This window comes from Homo sapiens, chromosome 11, assembly GCF_000001405.40.
Source record: "Homo sapiens chromosome 11, GRCh38.p14 Primary Assembly".
Lineage (NCBI taxonomy): Eukaryota > Metazoa > Chordata > Mammalia > Primates > Hominidae > Homo > Homo sapiens.
Window position 1 is genome coordinate 62,572,219 of NC_000011.10, and position 20,573 is coordinate 62,592,791.

At 49.9% G+C, this 20,573-nt stretch overlaps 2 protein-coding genes across 3 annotated transcripts in view, besides 6 other annotated features; both read right to left on the minus strand.

Moving 5' to 3' along the window:
• EEF1G (eukaryotic translation elongation factor 1 gamma) overlaps window positions 1-1,673 on the minus strand; it is a 14,296-nt gene extending 12,623 nt beyond the window's left edge. Inside the window, exons 1-2 of the mRNA NM_001404.5 lie at window positions 1,613-1,673; window positions 366-524 (exon numbers count right to left, since the gene is read on the minus strand). Of these exons, the coding sequence (NP_001395.1) occupies window positions 366-524; window positions 1,613-1,624 (171 nt within the window). The 5' untranslated portion in view covers window positions 1,625-1,673. The remainder of the gene's footprint in view (window positions 1-365; window positions 525-1,612) is intronic.
• Window positions 1,642-1,841: an enhancer, noted in NCBI's record as "active region_4825". NCBI's record gives its function as "activates an Ori minimal core promoter by ATAC-STARR-seq in GM12878 lymphoblastoid cells {active_cell/tissue: GM12878}" and the evidence as "EXISTENCE:reporter gene assay evidence [ECO:0000049][PMID:35858748]".
• Window positions 1,797-2,758: an enhancer, noted in NCBI's record as "H3K27ac-H3K4me1 hESC enhancer chr11:62341487-62342448 (GRCh37/hg19 assembly coordinates)". NCBI's record gives its function as "activates a minimal SCP1, AML or CMV promoter by ChIP-STARR-seq in primed H9 embryonic stem cells {active_cell/tissue: H9 hESC(primed)}" and the evidence as "EXISTENCE:reporter gene assay evidence [ECO:0000049][PMID:30033119]".
• Window positions 2,542-2,601: an enhancer, noted in NCBI's record as "active region_4826". NCBI's record gives its function as "activates an Ori minimal core promoter by ATAC-STARR-seq in GM12878 lymphoblastoid cells {active_cell/tissue: GM12878}" and the evidence as "EXISTENCE:reporter gene assay evidence [ECO:0000049][PMID:35858748]".
• Window positions 2,759-3,720: an enhancer, noted in NCBI's record as "H3K27ac-H3K4me1 hESC enhancer chr11:62342449-62343410 (GRCh37/hg19 assembly coordinates)". NCBI's record gives its function as "activates a minimal SCP1, AML or CMV promoter by ChIP-STARR-seq in naive H9 embryonic stem cells {active_cell/tissue: H9 hESC(naive)}" and the evidence as "EXISTENCE:reporter gene assay evidence [ECO:0000049][PMID:30033119]".
• On the minus strand, window positions 2,834-19,305 carry TUT1 (terminal uridylyl transferase 1, U6 snRNA-specific). 2 transcript variants are annotated; one of them, NM_001367906.1, is made up of 9 exons: window positions 19,186-19,305; window positions 16,813-17,003; window positions 9,168-9,483; window positions 8,888-8,988; window positions 6,343-6,812; window positions 4,964-5,073; window positions 4,689-4,740; window positions 4,439-4,531; window positions 2,834-4,026 (listed from the first exon to the last, which is right to left on the minus strand). In NM_001367906.1, the coding sequence occupies exons 1-9, from the start codon at window positions 19,265-19,267 to the stop codon at window positions 3,915-3,917; spliced, it is 1,527 nt and encodes a 508-aa protein (NP_001354835.1). In that variant the 5' UTR covers window positions 19,268-19,305; the 3' UTR covers window positions 2,834-3,914. The 2 variants fall into 2 exon arrangements, with proteins under 2 accessions (NP_001354835.1, NP_073741.3); NM_022830.3 differs by having other exon boundaries at window positions 4,689-4,799.
• Window positions 19,115-19,810: an enhancer, noted in NCBI's record as "OCT4-NANOG-H3K27ac-H3K4me1 hESC enhancer chr11:62358805-62359500 (GRCh37/hg19 assembly coordinates)". NCBI's record gives its function as "activates a minimal SCP1, AML or CMV promoter by ChIP-STARR-seq in primed H9 embryonic stem cells {active_cell/tissue: H9 hESC(primed)}" and the evidence as "EXISTENCE:reporter gene assay evidence [ECO:0000049][PMID:30033119]".
• Window positions 19,227-19,456: an enhancer, noted in NCBI's record as "active region_4827". NCBI's record gives its function as "activates an Ori minimal core promoter by ATAC-STARR-seq in GM12878 lymphoblastoid cells {active_cell/tissue: GM12878}" and the evidence as "EXISTENCE:reporter gene assay evidence [ECO:0000049][PMID:35858748]".

Sequence of the window (20,573 nt, forward strand, 5' to 3'; positions counted from 1 at the left end):
CCAGACCCACACAGCACTTCATCTCCTCCATTCTTAGCATGTTTCTTCACCTATCTCTATAAACCCCTTGGGGTAAGAATTCTGCTCATAACAGATATCTGATATATTTGCACTGAAAATGCTTAGTCAAAACTCATTCTCTTTCCCACAAAGTAAACTCGTGAATTTTATAAAGTCACAGAATAGCTCTGTATTTTTTTTCACAACTACATGTAAATCTGTATTTATCTCAAAATAAAATCACCGAAATTGAATAAAACAACATGGGAAGCTCCCTTTTAGAGATGGGGGCCACCACCAGAGTGACAGAATCGCAGGGCCTTGGTTTCTCAGAACCGAAGGATGCTCCCCATCTCCCAACTCACCTTGCCGGCAGGAAATTTGCGGAGAAATTCAGGGGTGCGGTTGGTTTGGCCAAAATGGAAGTGGGGTGGTGCGGAGAGCACGCGGACCTGAGCCCCGCTGTACTGAGCAGCGATGAGAGCCTTGAAGGCCCTCCAGTTTTCAGGATACGTGTACAGGGTCTATGGGAGAAAGAGAGGGACAAAATTAATGAGTAGAAGGGTCCCAGTCCTTAATGCCACTCTCCAGGATGACTTTCCTGAATAATCCCAATGTATTCAACTCACCCTTTTACTTCCTCTGGTGAACCAAGTCCTTTAGTACTTGTCATATGTAATCAGAATCCTCCGAAATACCAAGAACAGAACTACACACCAACTGCTAAATAAAGCTTGTTGACAGATTTGACCTTCCCTAAGGACACCTCTGGAAGTATTCTCTTCCTCTCAAATCTATCTCCAAGAAATCCAGAACTTCTAGCTCCATCAGACTCCATCTGCCTACAAACATACTCTCCTCCCTTCCCGGAGCCCTCGCTTCATTCATTGATGGTTCCGAGCGCCTGCCTACTCTACTGCTCAGCTGCTCACCGCTTCAAAAGCATCGTCCTGTCTCTAAGGCACGCACGACGATCGAGAGATTTCTAGTTCCCCTCAGACTAGCCAGAGATAGGGGATGGCATGCCGTCTTCTTAAATCAACTCCTCTCTCTCAAAAAGCCTTTCTTTCCGTGTCGCGAATATCATCCCTCCGGTCCTGTCCCGCAGCGAGTTCCCCGGCGTTGGGCTTCTCTATTATGCCGGCCAGCGGAGTCCAATTGGTCTGACTTCACTGTCCGGAGAATCCTCTCGCTCCCAAACCTCCCTGAGAGACGACCTTTAACCGTGCCAGCCGGACCTGCCTACAAAGACCCTCCTCTTCAACCTGTCCCCTGTGTTACTCCACAAAACGGACACAGAAGTTCGTCAACCTGCCCAGATACCACGCCTCAAAGCGGCAACAGAGCCGAACCCCTTTCTCAGGCTTCGGACGGCCCAGACCCGGCATCTCTTTTCTCCTCTTCCCCAGACCCTTCCACCTCTGGCCTCCGAGAGCCCCAGCCTCAGTTCCCCTCCAGGCCCTAGGAACCCTACTCTCCAGCAGTACAGTCTGTAGACCCCCGAATCAGTTCCCCACTCAACCTCAGAACTCCTCTGGCGCCGACTGGCCCCACTCGGGCAAAGGATGGCGGTGGATAGGATGACCCGAACCACCAGAGCCAGCAAACTTACCCCAGCCGCCATGGTGATTCCGCAAAGAAAGGGGGTGGGGTTCTCGGCGCTGCCGCAAAGTAAGCCGCCCGGGAGAGAAGGGAGGGGGAAAGAGGAGAGCCGTGGAGAAACAGCAGCCGGAAAGCGAGGACGAAACAGAAGACATACGTACGACAGTTCGGTATCCAGTGGCGCTGAATTGGAAAAAGAACTGGGTGGGTGGGGCCTGCTGGCCAGCGCGGAAAAAGCTCGGGCCTGCGCATTGGAGCTCTTGACTGGCCCGCCCCCCAGGTGCAGCGGGCCAATCGGAGTCTAGACGTGGAGGTAGACAGCGTGGAGGGCGGGGAAGTTGTGAGAACCCGCTGGAAAAGCCGCGAGTTCTTGGCTACGTGGCGCGGTTGTTGGCCCGGCGCGGCCAGTGCTACTGGGGGCGTCCCTCTCTGGCCCTCCCAGGGACAAGTGACTTGATGGTAGATTTTGCCAAGCCCCTCACATGATTCTATGAAACTCATGGGAGCGAGGAACAGCTGCTGCGCGGAGGTGGCAGTGTGTGTGCTAAATCCCTTTAGTTCCTGCTCTGCTTTTCCTCCAGAAAGGGATGAGCGTCTAACAGGGGCCCCGGTCTGAACCCGCCTGCCAAAGTGAGGTTTGCTCACATCCAACCCCTGACAGCTCCAGGGTGCTGTTACTGCGAGCAGGGCACCGGCCCTCCGGCCCGAAGCAGGGCAGGGACATGAGGGAGAACGCGCCCTGTCCCTCCCACCTCCTCCGGACTCGGCCCCTGGAGGGGCTGACGCTGGAAGACCTGACATCGTCGCTTCTGATGTTCATGGCTTTTGACCCATGTTCAGGTTTGAAATCTCTTACCCAGTTTAAGAACGGGATGAACTCTCCTCGTTTAAAGGAGAGAATGAAGAACGCTGAACGCAAATCTCCGTCCTTGTGCGCATAAATCTGAGGCGACAGGAAGAATGTGGAGGCAAACCTGGCTCTTCTCAGTACTGCTGGAGCCACCCACCGCTCTGCCATTCAGGAACTCTGCGCGGGTGCCAGGTGCCACGCGCGGTGCTGCCCCCGCACTCCCCTCGAGCTGTGCGAACTGTAGGAAGGAGAAGCTGGTGGGGTGGAGAGCAACAGGGAGAGACCCATGTTCGGGGTCAGACGGGAGCAGCTGCAGGAAGTTCTGGGGGAGGGGAAGGGGGATTATGACCAGATGGAAATGAAAGGAAACGGGAGACTGTATTAATAAACTAGCAGCTTTATTGCCCTTCAGGGGCCATGTCTTCACTTGAGATGTCGAATTGCTTGAGGGAGGAAAACCTGTAAGAAATGATGGAGATCAGGGAACAGGCCTTGGGGATCCTGGAGCGGGGTCACAGTGAGCATTCGGTCAGCCGGGGAGACAGACGCCACAAAGCTCAGCAGGGGCTCAGTTTCTGGCCTCTCTTCGCCACCACTCAGTCCTTTCAGCTCCTGGGTGACCTGAGCCTCAGTCGCCAGCCACCCTGCTCTTGTGCCAGCGCCACCTCCAGCTCCCTCCTTGGTTTGCTGCTGCAAGCGTCTACGGGCTCGCCGCCGCCCTTGCCACACTCGGTGCCACAAGGCACAGCGCCAGCTCGCTGAGGAGGGCAGGGATGCCCCCTTCCCTGCCTCACCCTGAGACCATTCTTGGGCTGCCTCATGTCCCTTGGGCCCCCGCTCTGCCAGGGCTGCGTGGCTGGGCTGCCCCTCTTCTCCAGGGGCTCCATGCTTTCCAGTGGTCAGGGGCAGGTCCCCTGGCTGCCCAGGGCTCTGCATGGCCCAGTCCTGCACCATCTCTCCAACCTCTATAACCATCTCTTCTACCCTGTCTTCCCCACCGTCCCCTGCACATCCCTGCTGCTCCTCTTTCCCCTCCTCACAGCAGTTTTTCTGTCCATCTACTTTGAGTCTTTTGCTTGTCCCTCCCTGAGAGGACTCCCCAGTTCCACCTCCTTCTGACCGCGTTCTCTTGGTTGCCTGTTCTATATGGCACCCCAGTGCTTCCCTGAATACCTGCACCAGGGCAGCAGTGAGCTGGGTGAAGGGTGCAAGGGGTAAAGGGATCGGCGTAGCAGAGAGCAGGGAGCTGGGGGAGCTGGGCTGCAGAAGAGGGAGCAGCCCCCAGTCCCGACCCCGGGAGGAACGGCGCTGGTACTGGAGGCTTCGGCAGTAATTGGCTGCTGCTCGGCAGCAGTTCTGTAGGCGCCCAGCCACCCGGCTGGTCACATTGGCTGCGACATTGTGACTCAGGTCAAAAGGGTCCTGGAGATTCAGGGGGCCAAGGCGCAGACCCTCCCAGAGATTAGAAGGCAGGCCCCCTGCCACAGGCAGTGCCTGACCCTCCCGCAGGGACAGCAGGGAGCCACGAAGATCCCAACAAGATACACAGGAGAAGAACTGGGCTAGCAGGGAACCTGGAGGAGGAGGAAGAGTGGGGAAAGGGGGGTCACTTAGAGGCCAGAACTGATACAGGTCCTGCACCAGAGCCATTTCCTTAGCAGGACTTTTTCCCTTCCAAGGGGCTCAGCAGAGTCCCAGGAAGCTAGGCTTCTCTGATCCCTATAAACAAGAGGTCAAACCTCTCTCCCTGCCCCCACATGATGTCCTTGCCCAGATGCTGCTGCTCCTTGCTAGCCAGTGTAACCTTGGGCAAGTCACTTAATTGCTCCCAAACATGGTTTCTTCATCTGTAAAATGGCAGTAATAATATTAGGTATCTCACAGGCTTTCTGTGAGAACCATGCCTGGCACACAGTTAGTGTGATATATGTTACCTACTGTTGATGAACATCATTACTAGTCCTCTACCAGGCTCCCCAAACTCACTGAGGGGCTCCACATTTATGCTGGGCTCCAGTCTTGAGGCATCCCTGGGGAAACTGCAGTCCCAGCCATCGACTTCCACCTGTTCCCCCTCTCCTGTGAAAGTAAATAAGGTGAGAGTCAGTCTGGAAGCAAGGAGATTGAGGGTGGGGGTAGAGAGATCTCATTCACAGAGCTGCTTGGTGTATCTAAGTGTGATGAAGAAGAGAGAGGAAACTAACAAGATGGAGAGGGTGGAGGCTAGGCCGAGTACCTGCTTTCTGGGTGAGCTGGGACACAGTGGGCAACACAGGAGGGTCCCTGGTCTGAAGAAAATAGATCACCAGCAAGGTCAGGGCGTAGTTACTGAGAAGGGGGCCACTCCCTGGGTAAATAAGCAATAATTCCGGTTAGATCAGAGGTGCTTCTAATCCCCTCACTGGCAGTTTTCTCAACCCCGGTGCCCATTCTGACCTCCCTTCTCTCCCTGAATCCCTGCCTTTGTCCTGAGACCAACTCAGCCCCAAGTCTGTCCTGATCCATTCTCACCTGACAGCCCCCGACCCTGAGCCCAGCAGCGGAGGGTGTACACGAGGGGCCGGACTCGACCATCCAGCTCAGAGCAGAGACTCAGGAAACGGGAGTTATGCAGGGCCAGCCTGGGACAAAGCAGGGACAAGGGTGTTAGCGCTTGGGGATGTCAGAACCTACCACCCCCAGCTTTCATTCCAGACTTGCATAACTGGAGCCAGCTGGAATAAGGCCAGAACAGTTTCCCCAAATGTTGCTCACTGATCTTGTGAGACAGTGTGCGAAAGGACAAAGGAGTTCGGGAAACACTTCATCCTGTACGCCCATCCTGGACATTCACAGCACATTATTATAAGACTGTTCATGAGCCATGGTCACACCACTGCACTCCAGCCTGGGTGACAGAGCAACATCCCATGTCAGAAAAAAAAAAAAAAAGACTGCCCAGAGCCTTTACTATGCAAAGAAACAAAGACAGGAAAAGAGAGAGGAAGGAAGGAAAGGAGAGAGGGCAAGGGGCGAAGGGAGGAAATGGAGAAACCTTTTTGCATCTAACTTTGAATTTCCCAAATTTATTCAACGCAGAGCTCTTTTCTACATCCCTTGAAAGTAGTATTCTAGGGCGCGGTGCCTCACGCCTGTAATCCCAGCACTTTGGGAGGCCGAGGCGGGCAGATCACCTGAGGTCAGGAGTTCGAGATCAGCCTGGGCAACACAGCGAAATCCCATCTCTACTAAAAATACAAAATTAGCTGGGTGTGGTGGCACATGCCTGTAATCCCAGCTACTCGGGAGGCTGAGGCAGGAGAATCGCTTGAACCTGGGAGGCAGAGGATCCAGTGAGCTGAGATCGCACCATTGCACTCCAGCCTGGGCAACAAGAGTAAATCTCCGTCTCACAAAAAAAAAAAAAAAAAAAAAAAAGTAGTATTCTAAGGAACACACTTTACAAACACTGAAATGGAAGCCAGGCAGGAGGAGATAAGGGACAGAAAGAGGGATGGTCCCAAACAAGGACAAACTTGAGACTTGGCAGGTGCAGGAGTTTCCCAAGCCAGACTCTCCTGGCCCATCCCAGAATTCTCAGCTGGCCTGCCCCAAAGAAAGGTATGGTGCCTCACGCCTGTAGTCCCCGCACTTTGGGAGGCCGAGGCAGGTGATCACCTGAGGTCGGGAGTTCAAGACCAGCCTGACCAACATGGAGAAACCCCGTCTCTACTAAAAATACAAAATTAGCCAGGCGTGGTGGCGCATGCCTGTAATCCCAGCTACTTGGGAGGCTGAGGCAGGAGAATCACTTCAACCTGGGAGGCAGAGGTTGCAGAGAGCCAAGATGGCACCACTGTACTCCAGCCTGGGCAACGAGTGAAATGTCGTCTCAAAAAAAAGAAAGGTACCGGTTACTGAGGGAGACATCACCGTGGAGACCTGAAGGCCGATGACAGAACTTGACCACAGGGCGCCGGGCAGAGGGCACAGTTTGGACTCGATACACCCCAGGGACACAGCCCCGGAGAATGGATCCCACCAGCTCCAGCATTGCTGCCCCCTCTGCTTTCTCCTCCTTTGGGGTCTCTGCTAGTTCCGAGGCCTTCCCCAGGTCCCCCTCTTCCCTGTCCTCTAGCAGTGGTGAAGCTGGAGGCAGAGACTGGGGAGAAGCAAGGGTCTCGGAGGCCAAGGCAGAGTCCGGAGTTTGGGGCGCCAGGGAGGAGGAAGGGGTTTCAAAGTCCAGGGCTTCAGAATCCTGGGGAGAAGCAGGAGGTTGTGAATCTGGAGGGGAAGCTGGGGTGCAGGCCAGGGCTTGAGGGTCCAGTGGGGAAGCCAGGGCCGAGTCCAGCGATGGAGATTCTGGAGCCTTTGGGACTGGCTGTGGACAGAAATGAACTGAGTGAAATGTTTCTGCTGTTCCCTAAGCAGGGATCTCTCAAGATAATATTACTTCCAGCTTATTCAGCTCTATTCTAAGGTCTTTATACATATTAACTCATTTAATCTTCACAGGAACCCTTTTTTTTTTTAAAGATAACCTTTTAATTCTATAAAATAAAAGGTCTACCTCTGCAAAAAATGTCATTGTCGTGAAAGACAAAAACAGAGGAACTATTACAGACGAAAGAGAAACTGTAACAGTCCATTGACAGGACAGCTGACCAAATTAGAGTATGGACTGTAAAGTCTGTAAAGGTTTACATCTGTGTCAATGTAACATTTCCTCAACTTGATAATGGTACTGTGGTTATACACTAGAATACCTTTACACTAGAATACCTTTGTTCTTGCATAACACACATTGAAGTATTGAGGGGTAAAGGAATGTGATACATGCAACCTTCTCTCAGATGATTCAGAAAATATAAATAGAGAGTGTGTGTGTGTAGAGAAAGATAAAAATAATGATAAAACATTTTAAAACTCCTGTTGCGGGGGCAGCAGGCATATAGAAACTACTTTCTGCTCACTTTTGCTGTGAATCTAACACTGCTCTAAAAAATAAAGTCCATTTTTTTTTTTTTTTTTTTGAGATGGAGTCTCAATCTGTCATCCAGGCTGGAGTGCAGTGGCGCGATCTCGGCTCACTGCAACCTCCGCCTCCTGGGTTCAAGCTGTCTCTCCTGCCTCAGCCTCCTGAGTAGCTGGGATTACAGGTACGTGCCACCATACCCGGCTGATTTTTGTATTTTTAGTAGAGACAGCATTTCACCATGTTGGCCAGGCTGGTCTCAAACTCCTGACCTCAGGTGATCCACCTGCCTTGCCTCCCAAAGTGCTGGCATTACACAGGCGTGAACCACCGCGCCCGGCCAAGTCTATTTTTTGAAAATAATAATAGGCTGGGCATGGGGGCTTAAACCTGTAATCCCAACAATTTGGGAGAATGAGGCAGGAGGATTCCTTGAGCCCAGGAGTTCGAGACCAGCCTGGGAAACATAGTGAGACCCTATTTCTAAGTAATAATAATAATCCTTTCCTAAACAGAATCTGTACATTAGATGTTAGAAAATACAGGTTAAGTGGCCGGGCATGGTAGCTCATTCCTGTAATCCCAGCACTTTGGGAGGCCAAGGTGGGTGGATCACTTGAGGCCAGGAGTCCAAGACCAGTCTGGCCTACATGAAGAAATCCCATCTCTACTAAAAATACAAAAAATTAGCCAGGCATGGTGGCGTGTGCCTGTATTCCGAGCTACTTGGGAGGCTGAGGCACGAGAATCACTTGAACCCAGGAGGTGGAGGTTGCAGTGAGCCGAGATCACAGCACTGTACTCCATTTTGGGTGACAGAGTTAGACGGTCTCTCAAAAAAAAAAAATACACATAAGCAAAACTAAAAGGACCTTATTGTATAATTTTAAATATATTTTTTCCAAAATAAGATCATATTGCACACACCATTTTGAAATTTTTTTTTTGTTATGACTGCCAGGTATCCATGTCAATTCTTTTTTTTTTTTTTTTTTTTTTGAGGAGTCTCCCTCTGTCACCCAGGCTGGAGTGTAGTGGCACAATCTCGGCTCACTGCAACCTCTGCCTCCCGGGTTCAAGTGATTCTCCTGCCTCGGCCTCCCAAGTAGCTGGGACTACAGGTGTACACCACACACCCAGCTAATTTTTGTATTTTTTTTTTAGTAGAGATGGGGGTTTCACTATATGTTGGCCAGGCTGGTCTTGAACTCCTGACCTCAGGTGATCCACCCACCTCAGCCTCCCAAAGTGCTGGGATTACAGGCGCGAGCCACTGCGCCTGGCCCTGTCAGTTCATTTTCATCCTATCTAATACTCATCCATATTCACATCTCTCCAATTACAATAAACTCTTTCAGGTAGGTCCTATTATCTGCATTGTAGATGAGGAACTAAGACATGGAGAGCTAAAGGACTTGCCCACAGTCACATGGCCATTCTCATGGACTTTTCCCAGCTGCCTCCCTGGGACACTCACTCACCTGGGGCTCTTCCAAGTCACCCAGATCCAAGAAGAGGTCAAGATCACAGCCATGGACATCGAAGCTATTTATGGAAGAGCCAAAAGGGTGGACCACACAGCCTGGGTGCCGAGCAGAGAAGAAAGGTCAAGAGAAGTTAGGGAGGAGCAGGGGGAAGAACAAAACAGAGCACAAAGATGGAAGAGCAACCAAACACCTCTAGCGGAGGAAGGACTGGGGATACAGACACAGGAGAGCAAAGGCCAGGGAGGGCTCAGACATAGTAGGGGAGGTAACTTACCAGGGAAGAACTCTGTGAAGACCTCCTGCATCAGGGCCACCACTAGGCTGCGAAGCTGCCGCTCGGCCTCGGACAACTCCCTCAGCCCCACAAGCTTTATCATTTGTGCCCCCACGTCTGCAGCCTCAGCTAGCGCTTTGGCCAGCTGGTGACTGTCGGGGGCCGCTCCTTTGGGGGATTTGGAGGCCGGGCTCTGGAACTCCTTCTGCTCCCGTGGGCGGACACGCAGGCGATGTCCTCCCAGGCTGTGCTGGGACTGTGACAAGACAGCCTCTCGAGCACCCACGTCCCCCATCTCCACAATGGCAAACACTCCCTGGTAAACAACAGGGGCAGAGATGATGATTTTGGAACCAAGAATCTAAGCACGAGATCTACAGTGGATGAGAATATTTGAAATGGAGACTATCCCATAAATTGAGAATATTTGCTTGCTGTTTTCATAATAACAGGGGACATATCTAGAAAAGCAATTTTCAGCCAGGTGCAGTGACTCATGCCTGTAATCCCAGCACTTTGGGAGGCTGAGGCAGGAGAACTGCTTGAGCCCAGGAGTTGGAGACCAACCAGGGCAACATAGTGAGATCCCATCTCTACAAACAATTTTTTTTTTTTGAGATGGAGTCTTACTCTGTCACCCAGGCTGGAGTGCAGCGGGGTGATCTCGGCTTACTGCAACCTCTGCCTCCCAGGTTCCAGCGATTCTCCTGCCTCAGTCTCCCTAGTAGCTGGGATTACAGGCACATGCCACCATGCCCAGCTAATTTTTGTATTTTCAGTAAAAATGGGGTTTCACCATGTTGGCCAGGCTGGTCTCTAATTCCTAAACTCCTAAACTCGGCCTCCTAAAGTGCTGGGATTACAGGTGTGAGCCACTGCACCTGGCCAGTACAATTTTTTTAAATTAGCCAGGTAATCCCAGCTACTGGAGAGGAAGAGATGGGAGGATTGCTTGAGCCCGGGGGCTGAGATTGCAATGAGCCGAGATCGCACCACTGCACTCCAGTCTGGGTGACACAACCACACCCTGTCTCAAAAAAAAAAAGAAAAGAAAAAGAAAATTAGCCAGGCATGGCAGCACACACCTGTAGTTCCAATTACTTGGGAGGCTATGATAAGAGCATCACTTGGGCCCAGGATGTTGAGGCTGCAGTGAGCTGTGATTGTGATTGCACCACTACACACCAGCCTGAGAGACAGCGAGACCCTGTCTCAAAAAAAAGTAGAAAAACAATTCTTTCCCTCACTCCTATTCCAAACATTTTACTCTCACCCCAGTCTGCCTCTAAAAACCTCATTTTATCTACATTATTTGTCCCCTACTCTTCCCAATGATGTGATTACACTATGACCCACCCTATAACTTTTCCTGATATAATTAGAATTTTTTTAAACATTTATTAAGGATCCATGTAACAGAATGAGTCCACTTTAAAAATCTTTTAAAAAATCAATTCATGCAGCTGGGTGCAGTGGCTCACGCCTGTAATCCCAGCACTTTAGGAGGCCGAGGTGGGTGGATCACGAGGTCAGGAGATAGAGACCATCCTGGCTAACATGGTGAAACCCCGTCTCTACTAAAAATACAAAAAATTAGCCAGGCGTGGTGGTGGGCGCCTGTAGTCCCAGCTACTAGGGAGGCTAAGGCAGGAGAATGGCATGAACCCAGGAGGCGGAGCTTGCAGTGAGCTGAGATGGCGCCACTGCACTCCAGCCTGGGCGACAGTGGGAGACTCTGTCTCCAAAAAAAAAAAAAAAAAAAAATCAATTCATGTAATAAACACTGTGCGAGGCATAAATACAAACTCATAAACCCTGTCTTCAAGAACTCACTATCTAGGAATAACAGCAATATAACAACTATATTGTTGTAAGTTGGTGAGTTCAATGATATTCACTGGCCATATTTTTTTAAAGGTAAAATATTAGCAAGAAGAGGAAAAACGCCGGGCGCAGTAGCTCACGCCTAATCTCAACACTTTGGGAGGCCTAGGCGGGTGGATCACTTGAGGTCAGGAGTTCAAAACCAGCCTGACCAACATGGCAAAACCCCATCTCCACTAAAAATACAAAATTAGCCAGATATGGTGGTGCATGCCTGTAATCCCAGCTACTCAGGAGGCAATTGCTTGAACCCGGGAGGCGGAGGTTACTGTGAGCCGAGATTGTGCATTGTACTCCAGTCTGTCCAGTCTGGACAACAAGAGCGAATCTCCGTCTCAAAAAGAAAAAAAAAGAAGAGGAAAAACAGGACTGCTTTAGGCAAAAAAGTCCATATTCTTTTATATCCTCCAATGGTAAAGCTGGACCCTCATCTTGTTTATAAAAAGGTTCCTGCTAGAGTAAGGTAGCACCAAGACAGAGTGGTGCTAGCATAAAGATAGACATTCAGATGAAGGGAATGGAATTGAGACCCTGAAAGAAATTCACACATCTTTGGTCAACTGATTTTGAACAACGGTGTCAAGAAGATTCAATGGGGAAAGAACAGTCTTGTCAACAAATTGTGCTGGGACAACTGGATAGCCACATGCAAAACAATGATGTTGAACCTTTACCTCACACCATACATAACAATTAACTCAACCAGGAGGATGGCTTCACCAGTACACAGGCCTAAATCACAAATGGGAAGTAACCAAGAAAGGATAAGGCGTTTCTTTTTGGAGTGGTGAAAACATTCTGGAATCAGTCATGAGGGTTGAAGAACCCTGTGAATATACTAACACTCACTGAATTGTATTTTTTTTTTTTTTTTTTTGAGACAGAGTGTCTCTGTCACTCAGACTTGAGTACAGTGGCACACTCTCGGCTCATTATTACCTCTGCCTCCCGGGGTTCAAGCAATTATCCTACCTCAGCCTCCCTAGTAGCTGGAATCAAAGACACGCACCACTACACCTGGCTAATTTTTGTATTTTTAATAGAGATGTGGTTTCACCACATTAGCCAGGCTGGTCTCAAACTCCTGATCTCAAGTGATCCTCCCACCTCGGCCTCCCAGAGGGCTGGGATTACAGGTATCAGCCACCACACCCACCCCTAAATTGTATACTTTTTTTTTTTTTTTTTTTGAGATGGAGTTTCGTTCTGTCACCCAGGCTGGAGTGCAGTGGCACGATCTTGGCTCACAGCAACCTCTGCCTCCCAGGTTCAAGTGATTCTCCTGCTTTCTGCCTCCCGAGTAGCTAGGATTATAGGTGCCCACCACCACACCCAGGTAATTTTTTGTATTTTTAGTAGAGATGGGGTTTCACCATGTTGGCCAGGCTGGTCTCCAACTCCTAACCTTAGGTGATCCACCTGCCTCGGCCTCCCAAAGTGCTGGGATTACAGGCCATGAGCCACCATGCCCAGCCAATTGTATACTTTTTGTTTGTTTATTTTTTTACCCAATAGTAAATAACCAACCAATGAATTGTATACTATTTATTTTATTTTACTTTTTTTTTTTGAGAAGGAGTCTCGCTCTGTTGCCCAGGCTGGAGTGCAGTGGCACGATCTCGGCTCACTCCAACCTCCGCCTCTCGGGTTCAAGCAATTCTCCTGCCTCAGTCTCCTGAATAGCTGGGATTACAGGAATCTGCCACTACGCCCAGCTAATTTTTTTGTATTTTTAGTAGAGACGGTTTCACCATGTTGGCCAGGCTGGTCTCAAACTCCTGACCTCAGGTGATCTAACCACCTCAGCCTCCCAAAGTGCTGGGATTACAGGTGTGAGCCACCTGGCCCGGCCACACCCTTCTTTTTTTAAAGACAGGATTTTGCTCTGTCACCAAGACTGGAGTGCAGTGATGTGATTATAGCTCACTGTAGCTTTGAATTCCTGGGCTCAAGCGAACCTCCCGCCTCAGCCTCCTCAGTAGCTGGGATGATAGGGGCACATCACCATGCGCAGACTTACTTCTACCCCTATGCCAAACACAGCAAAGAACTGAAGTGAGGCCAAGGACAAAGGTAGCTACTTGGACCTGCCCAGGCCAGTCTTCTGACTCTAATAAACCACAGTTTACCAGACTGCAGTACACCACCAAGTTTGTAACCAAAGCCCCAGATGGAAATTAAGAGTCTCTTTCACTGGGCCTGTCTGTGCTCCTATTTTTCTCCAAAACCTCACAGAAGGCATCAGGGAGGGCAGGACTGGCAGATTCAGAAGACTGTGTCAGCTGGGCGTGGTAGCTCATGCATGTAATCCCAGCACCCTGGGAGGCTGAGGCGGACAGATCATGTGACGCCAGGAGTTCCAGACCAGCCTGGCCAACATGGTGAAACCCGTCTCTACTAAAAATACAAAAATTAGCCGGGCATGGTGGCAGGCGCCTGTAAACCCAGCTACTCAGGAGGCAGAGGTTGCAGTGAGCCAAGATCGTGCCACTGCACTCCAGCCTGGGAGACAGAATGAGACTCCACCTCAAAAATAAATAAACAGGCCTGGCACGGTGGCGCACGCCTGTAATCCCAGCCTGTAATCCCAGCACTTTGGGAGGCCGAGGCAGGCGGATCACCTGAGGTCGGGAATTCCAGACCAGCAACATGGAGAAACCCCATCTCTACTAAAAATACAAAATTAGCCAGGCGCGGTGGCGCATGCCTGTAATCCCAGCTACTCGGGAGGCTGAGGCAGGAGAATCACTTGAACCCGGGAGCCAGAGTTTGCGGTGAGCTGAGATCGCCCCAAGCCAAGTTCGCGCCACTGCATTCCAGCCTGGGCAACAAGGGCAAAACTCCATCTCAAATAAATAAATAAATAAAAATAAGGAGCCTGTGTCCTTGCCATTTTTGTCCTCTCAACACCACCATCCATAGCTAGAGTTACTATTTGTTGAGGGCTTATTATAAACTAAGCAGTTCACACAAACGATGTCTGAGGCTCATAAGACACCTACGAAGTATGTATTATTATTTCCATTTTACAAATTAAGAAACTGAAACTCAAAGAGGTTAAGTAACTTGTAACTGCCTCACAAGCAGTGTCTTAAACTCCCAAATCTCCAACTGCCTACTGACCATTTCCCTTAAGAGAATGTTGTGGAGATTAGATGCAAGTGTACATAATGTGCTTAGCACACAATTGATGCATAGTAGTTCCTCAATAAAAATGTTAATCATTAGGCGGAGCACAGTGGCTTACGCCTGTAATCCCAGCAGTTTGCGTGGCTGAGGTGGGCAGATCACTTGAGGCCAGGAGTTCAAGACCAGCATGGCCAACATGGAGAAATCCTGTCTCTACTAAAAATACAAAAAATTAGGCCAGGCACAGTAGTTCACACCTGTAATCCCAGCACTTTGAGAGGCCGAGGTAGGCGGATCACCTGAGGTCAGAAGTTCGAGACCAGCCTGGCGAACATGGTGAAACCTGGTCTCTACTAAAAATACAAAAATTAGCCGGGTGTGGTGGCACGCGCCTGCAGTCCCAGCTACTCGGGAGGCTGAGGCGGGAGAATTGCTTGCTGGGATTACAGGCGCCTGCCACCACACCCAGCTAATTTTTGTATTTTTAGTAGAGATGGGGTTTCGCCATGTTGGCCAGGCTGGTCTCGAACTCCTGACCTTAGGTGATCCTCCCACCTCAGTCTCCCAAAGTGCTGGGATTACAGGCGTAAGCCACTGTGCCCAGTCGAGAGAAATACTTTTTCTAAAGGCCTCCTCAGTAAACTTCTACTTATATCTCAGTGGCCAGAATTCTACCACAAAAAAACTCCCTCTCAAAAAAAAAAAAAAAAAAAGGAAAAAGAAAAGGCATTTTTCTCAGAATAAAAGGAAAAAAAATAGAGGAGGGGACTCAAACTCAGCTGACACTAACCTTTTTTTATGAGATGGAGTTTCGCTCTTGTTGCCCAGGCTGGAATGCAATGGCGCGATGTCGGCTCAAGGCAGCCTCCGCCTCCCGGGTTCAAGCGATTCTCCTGCCTCAGCCTCCCGAGTAGCTGGGATTACAGGCATGTGCCACCACGCCCCGCTAATTTTGTATTTTTAGTAGAGACGGGGTTTCTCCATGTTGGTCAGGCTGATCTCGAACTCCCGACCTCACATGATCCACCCGCCCCAGCCTACCAAAGTGCTGGGATTACAGGCGTGAGCCACTGGACCTGGCCGACACTAACCTTTTATACTCTGCCCTACAAGCTGCCCCTTCTTCTTTTCTGAAGATATGGGGCAGCAGTATCGTAACTATGAAGAGCCACATACCAATAATGGCAGAGCAGGAAAACAGCAAAGCCCTGAACTGTCCAGGTCTGGACTTCTTGTTACATGAGAAAAACTAAATTCCTATTGTTTAAGCCATTTGTAGTTTGGTTGCTGAATGCAATCCCTAACAAACACAGGCTCCACCCCATTCTAAAAGATAACCTGGGCTGCAAAGGGATATTTTGGATCACCTAAGCCATGCCTACATAACAAGAGTACAGCCTCAGAACCACAGTATGACCAAGGAACACAGCACCTCAACAGTGAACTTTTTTCAAGGGACCAAAACCTACAGGGAAGCAACACAAAAAGCACAAGCTTGTTTATCTAACACTCTCCAAAGGACAGGGTGTTCTAACCAAACAACCTTAGTACCCTCAGTGTAAGTTAATAAACTGCTAACTGGTTTATCAACCAGGTTCTTGTGGAGTTGATCCAATGGTATGTTGTTCTTTAAGCACCAACTTTCACTATAATTACTTAATTGTTTACTTTCTCCTCTAGACTATAGGCTCTGTGAGAGCAGGGACCATATCTACCCCATTCACTACTCAGAATGCAGCCCTAAGCATAGTGCCTAGTACAAAGTTAGCTGTGAATAAATATTTGGCAAAGAATTCACTGAATCAATAGATGACACACACAAAAAAATCCCCCAGTGACTAACTCTGGTGAAGTGATAAAATCCAAAGGGTGGGACTGGGAGCAGTGGCTCACGCCCGTAATCCCAGCATTTGGGGAGGTTGAGGTGCACGGATCACCTGAGGTCAGGAGTTCGAGACCAGCCTGGCCAACATGGTGAAACCCTGTCTCTACTAAAAATACAAAAATTAGCTGGGCATGGGGGCACGCGCCTGTAATCTCAGTTGCTTGGGTGGCTAAGGTGTGAGAATTGCTGGAACCCAGGAGGTAGACGTCACAGTGAGCTGAGATTGTGCCACTGCACTCAAAAATATAATAATAAAAATAAAAATTCAAGGGGTGGGGGAGGTGTGAGAAGCTCCCAAAGCTGGTCTAGCCCAAGTACTGTGATGTCCATCAAGAATAAGCCACATTAGGAACCAGCTCAAAGAGGCTGTTGGTTTCTCTCTCTTGTCTCTTTGGTACACAGCACATCTGATTCATTCTTTTTTTTCTTAAGACGGAGTCTTGCTCTGTAATCCAGGCTGGAGCACAGTGGCACGATCTCAGCTTGCTGCAACCTCCACCTCCCGGGTTCAAGCGATTCTCCTGCCTCAGCATCCCAAGTAGCTGGGACTACAGGCATGCGCCATCACACCCAGCTAATTTTTTATTTTTAGTAGAGATGGGGTTTCACCATGTTGGCCAGGCTGGTCTCAAACTCCTAACCTCAGGTAATCCGCCTGCCTCAGCCTCCCAAAGTGATGGGATTACAGGCGTGAGCCATCGCGCCCAGCACTGATTCATTCTTTAACCCGAGAGCCATTCACTTTACCTTGTCCTTGTCCATGACAACACTGGCCACAGGTCCAAATGCTAGGAAGTACTCAGAGAGCTGAGCAGAATCCACATCCCTGGGAAAGCCACTGACAAACACACTTCGAAGTCCCTGGGCCTTTCTCGCAGCTCGTAGTTCTACCAGGTGCCGGTGCTTTCTGCCTCCCAAGTGGGCATCAAGGCTGGGTCCTGCAAAGACAAGTGTGAGACAAAAACATGCAAAGCACTCTTCGACGTGTCTGCCTTTGCTCTCTGCATACCTAAATCTTACTGATCCTTCCAAGCCACAGAAACTGTGACCTTTGAATAAACAAAGTCCTGGCTCCTTTCACCTTCCTCTCTTATACATTTGTCTAAATAGTACATTCTTTTTTTTTTAATTTATTTTTTTTAAACAGAGTCTCACTGTCGCCCCCGCTGGAGTTCAGTGGCGCAGTCTCCACTCACTGCAACGTCTGCCTCCCAGGTTCAAGAAATTCTCCTGCCTCAGCCTCGTGAGTAGGTGGGACTACAGGCGTGTGTCACCACACCCGGCTAATTTTTGTATTTTTAGTAGAGACGAGGGTTCCCAGGAGAACTGGCTACACTACAAGTATTTTGTTTATTTTTACTTAAAGAACAGTGTGATAGTAAAGTATTTCTTAAACCACCTATTTGTGCTAGGTAGAGTTGGAAACAAATTAACAGGTAACTTATCCAGGTCATCTACACAAGAACTAAAAAAATTTGGATCATGGAATACTTTGTGGATCATCTTTGGACATGGTATAATATAGTGATGTCAAAGGCAGGATCTGAAATTACATTGCCCAAGTTCAAATCCCAGCTCTGTCAACCTGTGTGAGACCTTGGTCAAGTTATGAAGCCTCACTGTGCATCAACTTCCTCAGATATAAAATGGAAATATCAGTATCTAGCACCTCACACACAGGTATTATTCAGATATATCACTTGGCAGAGAGAGTCTGGTACACGGTAAATGTTGAAAAACTAACCGTTGCTATTATTTTATTGAGTTAGCTGCTTGATGTCACCAAAGTAAATGTGGGGCCAAAGAAGACTCCTAGGTTTCTGGCTTGGCTTACTGGATGAACAGTGATAGTGCCATTCACAGTGAAAAGGAAGAATGGAAGTAAACCCTGTTTAGGGAACACTGTGATTCCAGACTTCAAAAGTAGGGCTGGGCACATTGGCTCACGCCTGTAATCCCAGCACTTTGGGAGGCCAAGATGGGAAGATCGCTTGAGGCCAGGAATTGGAGACCAGCCTAGGCAACATGGTGAAAACCCATCTCTACAAAAAACTAAAAAATTTGCCAAGTAGGCCGGGCGCGGTGGCTCAGGCCTGTAATCCCGGCACTTTGGGAGGCCGAGGCGGGCGGGTCACGAGGTCAGGAGATCGAGACCATCCTGACTAACATGGTGAAACCTCGTCTCTACTAAAAAATACAAAAAATTAGCCGGGCGTGGTGGCGGGTGCCTGTAGTCCCGGCTACACGGGAGGCTGAGGCAGGAGAATGGGGTGAACCCAGGAGGTGGAGCTTGCAGTGAGCCAAGATCGTGCCACTGCACTCCAGCCTGGGTGACAGAGTGAGACTCTGTCTCAAAAAAAAAAAAAAAAGAAAAAAGAAATTAGCCAAGTATGGTGGTGCACACCTGTAGACTCAACTACTTGGGAGGCTAGCCAGGGGTATGGTTTGAGCCCGGGAGGTTGAGGCTGCAGTGAGCCAAGATCACACCACCGCACTGCAGCCTGGGTGACAGAGCAAGACCTTGTCTCAAAAAAAAAAAAAAAGTGGAATTTGAAGTTACAGTGAACCCCTTGTGTGTCATACAAGAACCTTGTCTATTTTTCCAAACCCATCTTCTGTCTCTTCCTCACTGGTACCTTATGGTCTAGTCATTCATGCCACACCTATTTCATCCATCCCCTCCTTTGAGTAGGTCCTCTGTAGGGCTTCTCTGATTTAGTTACTAATTCTCTGTGGTCCCACAGTTCTCCGAACATATCTATAAAGCATTGAAACTTTCTCATTCTCTAGACGGTGAGCTCCTTCATCTCTGAACCCCCCTCCCCCACCCTAAAGATCAGCAGAATACCAGGCACAGAGCATATGTCCAATAGATGATGGTTAAAGAAGTAATAAAACAATTAAACTTGCGTTGTGGAGATTTCATATACTGAGGAGTGTAATGTGGTGGAACTTTCCCGACTCTCCAAATCCCCTCGGACTTGCAGAGAAAAACGGAGGTGAGAGACCCTACCAATCAACTTGACAAGAACGACTGACTACCTATAACCCTAACTTTCGCCAGGATCAAAAGACGAAAGCCCGCAACCACCCCCGGGTCCCTCACTAGCCACCGCTTACGGTTGGCTGTAGTAACGTGGCAGAGGCAGCAGCGGAACCCCCCACGCGGCAGCGATTCGACATCCGAATCCACCGCCGCCATAGCGACTCTCCTGTACCGACAAAAACACAAGCACCTCTGCCACCACCGGAACCCACTTCGCCAAAGCTCAACGCGCTCGGAAGCAACTTCCGCCGATCCGATAGGAAGTGACATAAAGTCGTTCAATTGCGCGGACACACTCCTCCGGAAACCAAGCTCCTTCGACTCTGGGTTCCGTTTCTAGCCGCTGTCCAGTCCCCGCCCGTTTCAGGAAAAGCGGCGCGTTACGATGCTTATCTGCATGCGGTAAGCCGATTGGTGTGCTTTAAGCTGTTCAGACGTTGATTGGCCCAAAGCATCGTGAATATTCATGACAGCAGCCACAAAGGCCGGCGCCGGGTGGCATCTTGCGGCAGCTCCTTCACCCCGCAGTAGACACCCGTGCGTCTGTACCCTCGACCCTTATTTACCCGACGAATAAAGGCGGAGGATCGGCGGCTTCCAATTCTTTGCCCCACGGAGCCCAGGGCTGTCCCTGGACTTCCAACCTTTTCAGGGCTGTTACTCCCTCCCTCCGCCCCCTGTCCTCCCGCAAAACGGGTGTTCTGCGACGGCTTCTAGCCCTGGTTGGGGAGCTCTGCCACCACCGGGCACCTTCCGGACTCCACGAGGTCCTGGAGCCAGGCCCATTCCTTCCGCAGTAGTGGGCTGCGTGGTGTACGCCGGAGGCGCCAGAGCTACTGGCGCACCTCAGAGCAGTGCGACAAGACAAAACCGAGTGCCAGTAACTGAGTTTAGACACTGGAGGGGGCGAATGCTGTCAACCCCCTCCTGGTATAATTGTCAGTTCATCCCAACGCCGCCGAGGTGTAGGCTCAGGACAGGGAGGGACTACGGGGAGCTGGGGATGCCCTAGGGACAGGGACCATAACGAGGTGGAGAGAACTATCAGATGGGCTCAGCAGCTTGTGCTGTGGTTATCAGCCCACAGCTTTGAATGGCGCAAAGAGCAGTGGACCTAAGGCAGACACCAAGGTCTTTGACCTTGAACAAGTCACAACTGTTGAGGCCGTTTCCCATCTCTAAAGGAAGTGCCCAAGGAGCACACAGCAGGCTGAACTTCTTGTTCTCTATCCTAAGGTGTTCCTTCTAATGGGCCCAGCTCAGGCATCTAATCTCAGTGTCCCAAACCTTTAAGGCAGGAAACAGTGCTACAGTGGATCGGGATATCATCGAGACTGGCCTTGAGGATCCTGAAGCAGCAGGCTGTACACATACACCCAGAGGTGCTAGGGTGGTTCAGTGGTAGAATTCTCGTCTGCCAAATACACCACACAGCTAGGTGAGGGGATCCTCCTATAACCCC